Here is a 15,203-nt window from a genome sequence, read left to right as displayed (position 1 = left end):
GGAAGTTCCTTAGCAGAACAAGGCTGCTTTCCTACCTAAGGTTACAGTCCTAATACAGAGGGTAATAATGATGTCACCCTTCCAGGGCATGCTGGAGCATCACCACTGAGTGGGAGGTTGGCAGTCCTGGGAGGATTACTGAGAGGGATTCAGGTTATTCTGGTCCTAAGTGCCAGGAAGTTAGATCTCTCCCTTTGGTTTTACCACCACGTGTTAACAAGACTTTATGGAGAAATTGCTTCACTCTTCTGGGCCTCAGGTCCTTGCTTTACCTTCTCTAGGTGAATGTGCACTAGAGTTGAGGGAGAAAGGCACCAGGTACAACTTCCAAGGGGTGCTGTGCATGGTTGTACAGGCTGTACACTGCACAACTCTAAGGGCGCCGTTCACATCAAAGATGTAGATGTTCATGTTTGTTATGAGATTGAACAATGGAAGCCAGTTGAAGCCAGGTGTTGAGGAAGAGGCACTTTTTCTAATTTACACAAAAGTTCAAGGCAAATAGTAGCCTTGAATTAGAATGATTTGTGAAAAAAAAGATAAGAATTAAGCCAACAGGAGCTAATAAGATGTTAAAATAGAATAACTTTATTTTTTGGTCAGTTCACTTAGAAGGCAATTCATGAAAATATAATCCAGTTTGTATTTAAGAATAAAAAGGGAGTAAACTCTGCCGTATTATATATATCCCATCAGACAACACTGTGAATGTAGAAATTTCAGGTGTCAGGCCTGATTTTCAAAACATTTAGAATTAATTAGAAAATAAGTCTTTAGGTAGAGTGAAATTTTTCCCAGTTTCACAGGAACTAAGTTACCTAGTTGTAAATTTCGTAGATTATTGGAAAAACTTGCCCAAAAGATATTTCTATTTTTCCCATCTCTGTAATCTAATTATGAAATTACGAGACTTCTTTCATACTCAATGCTTCCTCAAATTATGTCAAAGTGAAAAATTAATTTAGTCACAAAAGAGTACTATTTTAAAATATTTTTGTTAGCCTGGATGGGATTCGATTGAACTGAAAGTTGACTAATAGGAGTGGGGTCAAAATTGAGCATAAGTTATACATTAGTAAACCAAGGAGAGCCCAAAGCTACCAAGATTGATGGTGTCAAAAAGAGGTGAAAAGAAATGAGTTTTGTATATTGAAATCAACAATTAAAAAATACAGCAGAAGAACAGCCATCAAGCATGTTTCTCCAAAATTTCATAACATCTGTATTTTCCAATTATAGTTTTAATCAATTTCTTACATCATGTGCAAAATATTGCAGCTATTTCTCAAAGGGCTGCAATCTCTCTCATTTTTTACCACCACATACACAAAAAAATTGATCTCTGACTTTAATTACTCTTTATCATTTTCCTCTCTGAGTCCCTGTTAACTTAGTTTTTGTGTTTAATGAGACATCTTGGTGATGTCACCCAAGGCAAATATATTGTCTTGTTCTCCTCCTTTCTCAGCCTGGACACTGTGTTAACACCACCAACCACTTTGTCATCTCGGACGCTCTTGACTTCTCAGTTGCTAGGCTCCTTTAGCCATCCTCAGAACTGTCTTATTTCACCTTCCTTTCTACTTTCTTGGATTCTTCTAATTCCCCATATCGTATTCTGTATACACACCCACATTTTTCACACATGCACTTCTTGAGCATCTTTATCTGTGTTGACAATTCCCCAGATTCTTTTCTTGAATGCTTTCCCCATTCCCTACATTGTTGGTCCTAGCACTGTATCACTTTGCTTGACTGCCCAGCCATCGGTTTACTATCTATCCTGTGTTTCTTTCCCTCAAATGTTTCCTAAGTCCACTCTTGGCACCTTTTCATTCTACAGACACAGAATCTTGAACTTACTGCCTTAAACAACTTCCTTGCCAATTTCTCTGCCTTTAGTCTATCTTCATCTGATCAGCTGCATTCACACAGCAAATATTTTCTTTATCTTATGTGACCTCTTTTGTGGTAGTTTTCAATAGCCTGTCACATCAAATTTAAACACCTTCTCAAGAGATTTCAGTGTTTCCACTGCCCTCTTCCTTCTTCTCTCATTACCCTCTGCTCTTTGTAAAATAATTATATATTCTAGTTCGCCCAGGAGAGTCCTAAGCAATTAGTAATTGTGCCCCTCTTATTCTCAAAAGTGTCCTATTTGGGTAGTAAATTACAGGGCCACTCTATCTATCTGGGACTTTGGTTCTGACTGTGCCTGCTGTACAACAACTGCGATTCTCCATATTTGAGTTGCCCTCATGCTTATCAGTACTCACACACATCATTCCTTCTGTAATCTTTTTTTCTCATGCTCTTCTTATAACTCTCATATCTATTAAACTATGCTATATTCTATATGGCCATGTAGAGTCAGAGTACATTTTTTAAGTTGGGACTGTGATCACTACCTGTTTATCGCTCAAAACTGTTTTATTTTTAAAATTGGGTCTATGACTACAACTTCTTTATGACCCATTATTAAATCATTGCTTATACAATTCTTAACATCAAAAATGTAAATTAGTTCAACCACTGTGGAAGACAGTGTGGTGATTCCTCAAAGATTAAGAACCAGAAATACCATTTGGCCCAGCAATCCCATTACTGGGTATATATCCAAAGGAACATAAAACATTCTATTATAAAGATATATACACACGTATGTTTATTGCAGCACTATTCACAATAGCAAAGACATAAAGTCAACCCAAATGACCATCAATGATAAACTGGATAAAGAAAACTTGGTACATATACCCCATGCAACACTATGCAGCCATAAAAAGTAATGAGATCTCCTCCTTTGCAGGGACATGGATGGAGCTGGAGCCATTATCCTCAGCAAACTAATGCAGGAACAGAAAACCAAACATCGCGTGTTCTTACTTATAATAGGGGCTAAACAATGGGAGTACATGGACACAGGGAGGGAACAACCACTCACTGGGGCCTGTCGGGGGAGGGCAGGGTGGGGAGAGCATTAGAAAAAAGAAATAACACATGCTGGGCTTAATTACTAGGTGATGGGTTGACAGGTGCAGCAAACCACCATGGCACAAGTTTACCTATGAAACAAACCTGCATATCCTGTGCATGTACCCTGAAACTTAAACAAAAATAAAATAAATTTAAAAAATTAAGGGTGGAGGCCAGGAGTGGTGGCTCATGCCTGTAAATCCACCACTTTGGGAGGCCGAGGCAGACGGATCACCTGAGGTCAGGAGTTTGAGGCCAGCCTGGCCAACATGGTGAAACCCCGTCTCTACTTAAAATACCAAAAATTAGCTGGGCGTGGTGGTACACACCTGTAATCCCAGCTACTTGGGAGGCTGAGGCAGGAGAATTGCTTGAATCCGGGAGGCGGAGGTTGCAGTGAGCCGAGATCATGCCATTGCACTCCAGACTGGGGGACAAGAGCGAGACTTCATCTCAAAAAAAAAAAAAAAAAGGTGGAAATAATCTTAAAACAAAACAAAAATAATATTTTCATCTTATTTAGTTCATTTCTGACCTAATAATACAAATATTTAGGAGTCATTTTTGACCTGTGTCTCAATTTGTAATGTTACCTGGAATATTTCTGTGTGAAATAATGTATGTCTGAGCTCTTTTATTTCCTCCGGAGAAGAGTTCTGTACCCTCTGCAGTTAAACAGTATCACAGCTATAAAGAAGTGTAAAACAAACCTGCATTTTTGCCATTTCTTTCTTTTTTCTTTTTCTGAAACAGGGTCTTGCTCTGCCACCCAAGGTGGAGTACAGTGGCATGATCACAGCTCACTACAGCTTTGACCTCCTGGGCTGAAATAATCCTCCCAACCTCAGCCTCCTGAATAGCTGGGACCACAGATGTATGCCACCATGCCCTGCTAATTAAAAAAAAAACATTTTTTTATAGAGGTTGGGGGTCTTACCTTGTTGCCCAGGCTGGTCTCAAACTCATGGGCTCAAGTGATTCTCTCACCTCGGTTTCCCAAAGTGCTGGGTTTACAGGTATGACCCACTGTGCCTAGCCCATTTTTGCCATTTCTAATAAAAGAAGTTGAAATTGTTCCTTATACAAAATTTTGGGATTTTAGCACCTTTAATTTTTGCACATTGGTTTGAAGATCAAACATGATCTGGAAGTGCTCTTCTTTTCCTCTTGAGTTCTTGCCTTTATAAAATAGCAAGGACGCCAAGCACTTAGAGGAGATGCATAGACTTATCATTATCTACAAAATATTTCAGTGGAATTCAGGACAAGTGTTAGTTGGTGTTAGGGAGGGACAGATGACTGAAAGCAACAATTTCTGTCTCTTTTCTTGTTCCTAAAGGAATTCTCCAGGGACTTATCAGAGTTGCTGGAAGAAAACAGCTGAGGATTGAGCACAGTGAACTAATTTCCTCACATCTTTGAATAAGCAGAAGTTGGTGAAAAGGAATGTAAATATTCTTATGGTAAAATGAGTTCAAAAAGAATCCTTAAATCCTTAAAATTAATAAACCAATAAAACAAAACATAAGACTGCACAATTATTTGCATGGCTGATAAGAAGAAGGAAAATAATTCCAGATATCTTTTTGAAGAAAGGAACAATAAAACAGGCATATTAAAAAATAAAACCACATTAAAAATTATTCAATAGAAAAAAATATAGAAGTCACCAAATACGAGAAAGTAAACTTTGTTTTATTGACACAGAATACTTTTAAGAGCGATGATTTGAGGTGTTAACTTCCTTTACTTCCTGATCCATTGTCCAGAACTTCTGAAGTTGTTCCTTTCTACATTTTCTACCTTCTCATGTACCTTTCACCTTCCCTGTTCAGCAGGGCTTGTCAGAAAACTTAATTTTTGGTGAGGGATGGAAGGTGGAGTTGGAACAGGTTCTTTCTCTGTCGGCCCAGCTGGAGTGCAGTGGTGTGATCACAGCTTACTGCAGCCTTAAACTCCTGGGCTCAATAGATCCTCCCACCACAGCCTCCTGAATAGCTGGAATTATAGGTGTGAGCCATCGTGTCCAGCTAGAAAGCTTCATTTTCTGAATTATTTACTTCTTATATTCTGCATCTATGGTTACATATTTTTCAGTTGTCAGAACTGGCACTGAACTTTCAGAGGCACATTTTTAAAATATAAAGTTATCCTTCATTTTACAAAGATGATACTACTGATTGGCTATCAATATTAGGTGCTTCAGGTTGTTTTCTTGAAGTGAGGATGGATTTACATTGCCTACTCACATTTTCCAACATGGTTCCCTGGCAACTACGGGCATTAATTTAGGTGAGGGTTTTTCAGGACTGCAGATGCAGATTAGGGTCATGGAATAGGATAGTGGTTCTTAAATTTTGTTGCAGATAAGAATCATCTAGGGAGTTCTTTAAAAATCTTGATATCGGCCGGGTGTGGTGGCTCTCGCCTGTAATCCCAGCACTTTGGAAGGCCGAGGCGGGCGGATCACAAGGTCAGGAGATCGAGACCATCCTGGCCAACATGGTGAAACCCCGTCTCTACTAAAAATACAAAAAAATTAGCTGGGCGTGGTGGCGGGTGCCTGTAGTCCAAGCTACTTGTGAAGCTGAGGCAGGAGAATGGTGTGAACCTGGGAGGCGGAGCTTGCAGTGAGCTGAGATCGCGCCACTGCACTGTAAAACAACAACAACAACAACAACAACAAAACCTTGATATCTAGGTCACACCACTTATCAATGAAATCCAAATTTCTGGATAAGAGTTCCAGGCATTAGATTTATTGTTTTAAAATCTATATTCATTATATATGTGGGTGTATGGTTTTGATTTTTTATAATTTTTAAAACAGCTTTATTGAGATGTCATTAACATACAGTAAATTTTGACATATGTATACACTTATGAAACCATCATCACAATCAAGATAATAAATATATCCATACATTTTTTGCAAGCTCCTTGATAATCTCTTCCTCCTGCCCCTCCTTGCCCTTTCCAGGAAACAATTCATCTGCTTTCTGCCACTATAGATTGGCCTGCACTTTCTACAATTGTATATAAATAGAATCATGCAGTATATACTCTATTTGGTCTCTCTTCTTTCATCAGAAAGAAGTTACATGTATCAAAAGCTCATTTAAAAAATATTGCTGAGTAGTATCCCATTGTGTGGAAAAAACATAATTTATCAGTTCACTTATTAATGGACACTTGAGTTGTGACTATTACAAATAAAGCTGCTATGAACATTCATGTACAATATTTGTAGAGACAGACATGCCTTCCTTATGTTTTTGCATAAATATGTAAAAATAGAATTAAGTAAATGGATGCTTCAGTTTTAAGAATCTGACAAACATTTTTCCAAAGTGGCTAACCCTTTTACATTTTTATCAGCATTAAATATTATTTCAGTTCCTCCACATCCTTGCCAACATTTGGTGTGGTTAGTCTTTTAAATTTTAGCCATTTCTAATAGGTACATACTGGTGTCTTATTATAGTTTTAATATGTATTTTGTTAATGACAAATGATGTTGAGCATATTTTCATGTGTTTCTTTGCTAATCGTATATATTCTTTGGTAAAGTGTCTGTTCAATTTTTTAAAGATTGGATCATTTGTCCTTTTATTTTTGAGTAGGAAGGGTTTTTCAATGTAATTCTAGATAAAAGTTTATTGTCAGCTATATGTCTTGCAAATAGTTTCTCCCACTCTGTTAAAAGTTTTTAACTTTGCTGAAGTCCAGTTTATTGAATTTTTCTTTTATGATTTGTGCTTTTGCCAAGCTCAAGGACACTAGGAGTTTCTTCTGTTTTTTTTTTTTTTAATACTAGAAGTTGAATAATTTTGCTCCTTTATGTAGTTCTATGATGTATTTGAATTAATTGTCAGGAAAGGGTCAAGGTGTATTTATTTTTTTCTGTATTGATATCTAGTTTTTCCAGAACCATTTGCCAAAAAGATTATCCTTTCTCTTGCTGAATTATATTGGTCACTTGGTTGAACATCAATTAATTATAAACATGTGGGTTAATTTCTAAACTCTTTTCTGTTGCATTGATCTATTTGCCTACTTTTGTACCAATGCCACACTGTCTTGATTGCCATAGCTTTATAATAAACCTTGAAATCTGGTAGCATAAGTCCTCCATCTTTATTTTTCTTAAAAAAATTTTGCCTTTCAGGGGTCTTTGAATTTTCATATACATTTTAGAGTCTGCTTGTTAAAGAAAAGGGCTTCTAGAATTTTGATTAGCATTGTATTGAACATATAGATCAAATATTAACAATATTAAGTCTTTAAATATATAAATGTGGTATGTGGTATGAGTCTCCATTTATTTACAATTTCTTTAATTTTTTTCAGCAGTGTTTTATCATTTTCAATGTTCAAGTCTCACATATCATTTGTTAAATTTATTCCAAAATATTTCATATTTGTGATGTTACTGTAAATACTGTTTTTCTGAATTTCAATTTCTGATTATTCACTGTTAGTATATGCAAATTATAATTTATTTTTGTATTCTGATCTTTTAGTCTGTAACCTTGCTAAAATAATTTATTAATTCTACCAGTTTTTTTTATAGGTTTTGTAGGATTTTCTACATAGAAATTATGTTGTTTTCTAATAAAGACAGCTTTAACTTCCTTCACTCCAATATTGATGCCATTTGTCTTTTTCTTGCCTTATTATGCTGGAAAGAATCTTTAGTACAATTTTGAATAGAAATGATGACACCCTTGTTACTGACCCTAGAGGGAAAGCTTTTCGTTTTTTACCATTTAAGTATTAAGTAATCTTTTTTTTCTTCAATTGTCCCTTTTTAGTTAGGTTGAGAAAGTTCCTTTCTAGTCATAGTTTTCTGAGACTTTTTATCAGAAATAGATGTTGAATTTTGTCAAATTCTTTCTCTGCATCTATTGAGATGATAATATTATTTTTCTAATAATGTAATGAATTACATTGACTGAATTTTCCTGTTAAGCCAACCTCACATTCCTGAGGTAATGCCTAGTTGGCTATGTTGCATTATTCTTTTTACATAATTTTGGATACCCAATTTGCTAAAATTTTAAGACTTTTAATATTTATGCTGATGACTGATGCTGGTCTGTAGTTTTCCTGTAATTTCCTTGTCTGGTTTTAGTATCAGAGTGGTGCTAAACTTATAATAATAGAATAAGTTGTTAAAGTAGTGCTTCCTCCTCTGTTTTTCTGGAAGCATTTATATTGAATTTATATTATTGCAGCTGCTCAATGGGTTCACCTTGCCCACTGCCTAGACACAGTCGATTTGTCAAGACAGGGGAATTGCAATAGAGAAAGAGTAATCCACATAGAGCTGGCTGTGACGGACACCACCCACATCAGTCTCCTGGAGCATTAGGGGATCAGAGTTTTTAAGGACAACTCGGTCAGTGGGGAGAAGCCAGTGAGCCAGGACTGCTGATGGGTCAGGAATTAAATCATGGGGAGTCCAAGCTGTCTTGCACTGAGTCAGTTTCTGGGTGGGGGCAACAATATCAGATGAGCCATTTAATCCACCTGGGTGGTGCCAGCTTGTCCATCAAGTGCAGGGGCTGCAAAACACCGCAAGCACTAATGTCAAGAACAGTTGAGGGAGGGTCAGAATCTTGTAGCCTCCAGCTGCCTGACTCCTAAACCACAATTTCTAATCTTGTGGCTAATGTTAGTCCTATAAAGGCAATCTAGTCCCCAGGCAAGAAGGAGATCTGCTTTGGGAAAAGGCTGTTATCATCTTTGTTTTAAACTATAAACTGTAAACTAAGTTTCTCCCAAAGTTAGTTCAGCCTATGTCCAGGAATGAACAAGGACAGCTTGGAGGTTAGAAGCAAGATGGAGTCAATTAAATTAGATCTGTTTCACTGTCTCAGTCATAATTTTGCAAAGGCGGTTTCATTATTTCTTCCTTGAATGTCTGGTAGAATTGGCCTGTGAAATCATAAGCCTGGAATTTTTTTAGTGAGAAAAGAGAGATTTCTTTTTACTACAAATTAAAATTCTTTCATAGATATAAGGCTATCAGGTTATTTATAACTTGAATGAACTTTGGTAGTTTTGTGTTTTTCGAGGCATTTGTTCATTTCATTGAATTTGTTGAATGTATTAATGTAAAATTGGTTACAATATTTTCTTATCATCCTCATAATATCTGTAGAAATCATAGAGATATCACCTTTCTCATTTCTGTTTTTTGGTGAGGTGTGTCTTCTCTTTTTTGTCCCTGATCAGTCTGGTGTGAGGTTTATCAATGTCTAATCAATCTAGTCAGAGGTTTCTGTTCTCAATAAATTAGCTTTTGGTTTTATTGATTTTTCTCTATTTTTTTTCTTCTTTTATATTTTGTTGATTTCGGCTCTAATCTTTATCGTTTTGTTTCTTTTGACTATTTTTAGATTTAATTTATTCTTCTTTTTCTAGTTTTTTTTTTTTTTTTTTTTTCAGATGGAAACCAGGAACTTTGATTTGAAGCATTTCTTCTTTTCTAGTATAGGGGTTCAGTACCATACATTTCCCTTTTAGTATTGCTTTTCTTGAATCTTACAAGTTTTGATCTATTGTGTCTTTGTTTTCCTTTACTTTAAACTAGTTTCTCTTTTATTTCATGGGTTATATATGTGTGGATTTGGTTTCTAAACATTAGGGAATTTTCTGAATTTGTTTTCTGTTAGTGGTTTCTCATTCAATTATACTGTGGGCAGAGAACATGTTTTGTATGATGTAAATTCTTTTGAATTTCTCGAGACTTGTTTTATGGCTTAGAATATGATCTATCTTGGTAAATAGTCAACACTTAAAGTGAACATGGCTTGTGTTCACTTTAAAGAATCTCTTGGTAAAAGAACCAGGCATCAGTGTTTTTTTTTTTGTTTCTTTGTTTTGTTTTGTAAAAATGCTTCCTAGGTGATTCTAATGTACAGTCAAGTATGAGACCAATGGATTAGACCAATGTTCTCAAATTTAGCAAGCATCGTAATCGTCTGACAGTCTTATTGGCTTGTTAAAACATAGATTACTGACTGCCACTCCCAGAACTTTTGATCCAGTAGTTCTGGGAATTAGCCCAAGAATTTACATTTTTAAAATTTCTCAGATGATGCTGAAGATGCTATTCCAGATGACACTTTGGGAGTGACTGGACCAGATTTTTGCATTCTATGTGTGGGTCAGGGACCAGCAGCATCACCTCAATATCTAGCCCCAATTCCATACCTAATACCAAAATCTGTATTTCAGTAAGATCCCCTGGTTATTCATATATATATATATAAGCTTGTGAATTATTGGCGTGACACACCAATTTCTATTTTGATTCAGTAGGTTTGGGGTGGGTCCTGAGATTCTGCATTGCTAACAAGCATCCAGGTGATGCTAATACATTGGTCTTTGAGTAGCACACTTTGAGTAGCAAGGGAATAGAACATCTACTAAATGCAGTGCAGTGAAGAACAGATAACAAGGGTAATGATACAAAAATATCTCTATACAAGAAGCACCAAATTTCATAATATCTTGTGATGCTAGGGAATGTAAGATGGAAATTATTAACCAACACAACTGATTGGCTAAGAGGCTAGTGAATATCAAAAGGAGGTGGCACGGTATGTTTGGGGTGCAGGTATTATAGGATTTGAGTTCATGCTGAAATCAAAGCTTACTTTAGTAAATGTGAGGTAGTCTAGGTAAACAGCTATGAATTTGTGGTTAGACCCAGAAATTTAGAGGTACAAGTGTTCTGGCTTATGATATTTTAGGGTGTGGCGAAGTTTATCTGTGGCAGAGGAGAGATGCACTCAGTTAACTATAGAAACAGGTAATATAAATAACACATATTGAAAAAAAAACAAAACAAAACAAGACCATTGTGTTACCAGACAGAGTAGAGACACCACATCATGAACTAGGTTCAAAGACCACTTAGCAGTGGTTTTCAATCTTGAGAATAAATTAGAATCACCTTGGAGCTATAAAAATTTGATCCGTATGTCCATACTGACATAAATAATTAAACAAATGAGAGAGAAGAGAAAGTATTCCCTCATAGAAGGTTCCAATTAATAAACATGGAAGAAATGAAGGAAATAGAAAATCACCATTAGAGCACAATGGTAAGAGTTTTTGCATGCAAGATCTACTGATACAGGCTCAAGTCAGTTTTAATGTTTGAGGAGGAAAAGGATATTTGTATAGTCTCAAAGTATTTTCTGTAAGATATTTATTAATTACAAAGGTGAAACTAGTATTGTTGCAGTGGAGAAACCTAGCAGACACCACTTTAACCAAGTCATCAAAATTAGTATCACCAATAATAAGACATATTGACATAAGGTATCCACTGATAGAATGTACCAAGAAGGGCACATCATTTCTGTAGTATTCTAGCAAAAAATTAGAAACTTTAATATAATAGTAAGAGAACATTAGAGAAACCCAAATCAAGGAACATTCTACAAAACAAGTGACAGGAGCTCTTCAAAAGTACAATGTCATGAAAGACAAGGAAAGAACGAGAGCTGTCATGGATTGGAAAGAGCAAGAAGAAACTAAATGCAACGTGGGATCGCAGATTAGACCCTGGAACAGAAAAAGGTCATTCCCGGAAAAACTGGTGAAATATGAATAACCATCTGTAGTTTTGTTAAGGGTTCTGTACCAATGTTTATTTCTTTGTTTTAACAAGTGTACTACATTTTTGTAAGATGTTACAAAACAAAACAAAGGATTGGGCCACACTACAGGCCAATTAAAATTAGGTTTCCTGGGATTGGGAGCTGGAATTTTCTAGGGCCTTCAATGTGCCTCAGGATTGAAAACCACTTATCTATTAGATTGATGCAAAAGTAATTGCTGTTTTTGCCATTACTTTTATGGCAAAAACAGCAATTACTTTTGCACCAACACTGTAGGTTTACAAATTCATTGGAAAATCTGGAAACTTGTAGTCAGCATTCTTTTAAATAAAGAATGTATATGTATAACTTTCTAAAGACTTCAGAACACTGCTTTTACAAGGAAAAATAAATAATAAAATATTCCAATGTTTTTAAAGCATCTTCTATGTTCCAGCCATCAGAGATGAAAAGATAACTAAAGCTCAATTTCTGCCACCATGTAAATTTATGATTTAGTAGGAGAGAGAGATAAATACATGAATTAGTTTACAATATTTTCATATTTGAACCACATAAAGGATAAGTGGGGCAGGAAAGGCGGTATGGAGTTTCTTCTTGATGGAAGTAAATTTTAGCAATGTCCCCACACTTAGAAGTTTCACTGAAAAGACCATGTATTCACCTTACTGAAAATCCTCAGTATACTCAAGTGCCTGGTCTGCCTGGGAAAAAAAGCTCTGATTAGCTTCCATCTCCTCTCAGTCCTCCACTCACAATGACATTTGAGTACCTTACACATTACAAAAAGGAAGAGATGCCCTGAAATAACCTTTGGATGGTCAGGAGCCAAAAGATTTCATTATTTTGTAATTAATAGAATAGAACGCTCTTTGAAAAATTTGTTTGATGGGTGGTGTCAAAATGTTAATCAAACCTTGGCTTAGAATCAAATTTATTAGTTGAATTATGCATACAGACTTCTCAGTCTCTGTGAAACAATGTTAAAGCCAATAAAAAAATTTTAAATTCCCTCCGTACTATCCAGGTGAAAATAGCCAAAATACCCTTGAACTTTTTTCCCTGAGAACTGAAAATGTTTGCTTTAAACCAACAACTAAATCTTGTACTTTCAAAAACTTTACATTTCAGGGCCAGGCGCGGTGGCTCACGCCTGTAATCCCAGCACTTTGGGAGGCCGAGGCAGGCGGATCACGAGGTCAGGAGATCGAGACCATCCTGGCTAACATGGTGAAACCCCGTCTCTACGAAAAACACAAAAAAATTAGTTGGGTGTGGTGGCGGGCGCCTGTAGTCCCAGCTACTCGGGAGGCTGAGGCAGGAGAATGGCGTGAACCCGGGAGGCGGAGCTTGCAGTGAGCGGAGATCGTGCCACTGCACTCCAGCCTGGGAGACAGAGCGAGACTCCATCTCAAACAAACAAACAAACAAAACCTTTACATTTCAGTCAGGATTTTTACAGGGAGCGGAGATCGTGCCACTGCACTCCAGCCTGGGCGACAGAGCGAGACTCCATCTCAAACAAACAAACAAACAAACAAACAAAACCTTTACATTTCAGTCAGGATTTTTACAGGGTAATGTAATTTCAGAAGTTTTCTTGTGCGTGTGTGTCGGGGGGTGGGTGGGGGGTATTTAGTGTACAGGGAAGAAGAAAGATAATTTCATTATAATTATAATAAGTGAATTACAATGTGGCGGTTTTAAAACATGACTTCACATTTTTGGACATTCCTCCCATGGAAAGGTGGGGATCTGTGTCCTGTCCTGTCCTATGCAACCTGGCCCAACCTTAGTAACTACCTTGCAACCAACAATGCAGTGGCAGCAACAATGGTGCCTTTTGAGGCTAGTTCAAAAAAGGCCATGCAACTTCCTCCAGCTTTACTTGGGATGTTTGCTCTGGGGGAAGCAGACACCATGTAAGCCTCTAGCGAGAACTCCACACTGGAGAGGCTACATGTAGGTGCTGTGGTCAGCTCCAGCGGAATGCCCAGCAACAGCCAGCTTCAACCACAAGCCCTAGGAGGAAGCCATCTTGGATGACCAGCGCAGGAGAGCCTTCAGCTGAGTCCCAGCTACACCCCACTCTCACTACGCCCTCCTGAGAGACCCCAAGTGAGAGCTGCCCAGCCAAGCCCTCCCTCCATTTCCACTGCACACAATACTGCCCAAGATAAAACAGTTGTTTAAAGGTACTAAGTTTTGTGACAATTTGTGACATAGCAAATGTAACTAGAAAAGTGTCAGAAAATGTGTATGAAACTATTTCTGGAACAATTTGTAGGTTCACAGATCTTCCCCAATTAGGCTCACCTACAGTCTACCAAAATTGATTTACTGACCAATCATTGTCTAATTTTAATTGTGTATTCTAGGTTTTACATGCATTTATGTAAAAGCAGTCACTTTGATTAATTGTATCGTATGTGGGAAGGATTCACAGTTTAAATATGCTCAGAAGGGCAGCTGCTGCCAGGGAGGAAATGTGTTTCAATGGACTGGAGACTTAGGCACAGTTTTTCTGACTCCAGCCACCTGTTTCAACTGAACTAAAATAGCCTGCATGCAGAGATTTTTGGAGGAGTCATTGGGAAAGAAAATAAGCTATATTCATTATGAAAACTTGATTTTGTGGAGAGAAATTCAAAGGTCCAATTTAGCGGATAGTTATGAAAGCAATTTGCAAATGAGTTAGGATTTCTTAGTGGAGAATTTTGTATAAAATTGGCAAAATGTTTGGCACTGTTGGTTGCAGCAAGAAAATGAGGCTCTATTGAGAAAGAAGCTTGGTGAGAGCTGATTTCTTGAAGCTGTATTCTTGAAAGTGATGTACTCTAAGTCACTGTGGATAGATGGCATATAGTTCTTCTGTTCTCGGGGAATGCCTTCCTTCAAGCAAGGCACAAGATATAGAAATCAAACGAGTTCATCGTTGCATGAAAATGTTTCCATAGGTGGGTTATTATAACAGCCACACTCTAAGAATTTAGAAATTATACTATTTTTTTCTGAAGCTTACATATTCCTGTCTCTGTTATTTGCCCCCTCACCCCACTTTTTTCTTTTACTCTGATTAAACAAATTAGAAAAAGGGAAGTTGAAAAATAAGAGCATCTGGAAAAGAGGAAGAAAGAGGGTATAAGAGGGAAGGTCAATTATTATCTGAGAAAGGGAAAAATTAAGGTGTGAGATGACATTATCAATTTAATTTTTAATTAAAACATCTTGTAAGTGTTCTGAAACAAATGAGGGTACCTTATTTTTATTTTTTTAGAGACGAGGTTTTGCTCTGTTGCCCAGGCTGGAGGGTAGTAGTGCAATCATAGCTTACTGCAGCCTCAAACTCCTGAGCTCAAGCCATCCACCTTTCTCAGCCTCCTGACTAGTTGAGACTGCAGGTGTGCACCACCATGCCTGGCTAATTTGTTTTACATGTTTGTAGAGATAGGGTCTTTCTATGTTGCGCAGGCTGGTCTTGAACTCCTGGGCTCAAGTGGTCCTCCTCCCTCAGCCTCCCGAAACACTGGGATTATAGGCTTGAGCCACTGTGCCCAGCCAGTACTTTATATTACTAGGTATCTCATG

The 15,203-nt window shown here is 37.2% G+C and overlaps 1 long non-coding RNA gene across 1 annotated transcript in view, besides 1 other annotated feature; it reads left to right on the top strand.

The window, feature by feature from the left end:
- LOC124901379 (uncharacterized) overlaps positions 1-7,621 on the top strand; it is a 68,150-nt gene extending 60,529 nt beyond the window's left edge. Inside the window, exon 2 of the long non-coding RNA XR_007059713.1 lies at positions 4,316-7,621. This is a non-coding gene — a long non-coding RNA (uncharacterized LOC124901379). The remainder of the gene's footprint in view (positions 1-4,315) is intronic.
- Positions 12,911-13,100: a silencer, noted in NCBI's record as "fragment chr6:113834993-113835182 (GRCh37/hg19 assembly coordinates)". NCBI's record gives its function as "represses an EF-1alpha promoter that drives an FKBP-Casp9 reporter gene in an ReSE screen in K562 erythroleukemia cells {active_cell/tissue: K562}" and the evidence as "EXISTENCE:reporter gene assay evidence [ECO:0000049][PMID:32094911]".

Source organism: Homo sapiens, chromosome 6 (genome assembly GCF_000001405.40).
Source record: "Homo sapiens chromosome 6, GRCh38.p14 Primary Assembly".
In the NCBI taxonomy this organism is placed as follows: Eukaryota; Metazoa; Chordata; class Mammalia; order Primates; family Hominidae; genus Homo; species Homo sapiens.
Note: the sequence above shows the minus strand (reverse complement) of the source record. Positions and strands in the feature narration are given on the sequence as shown.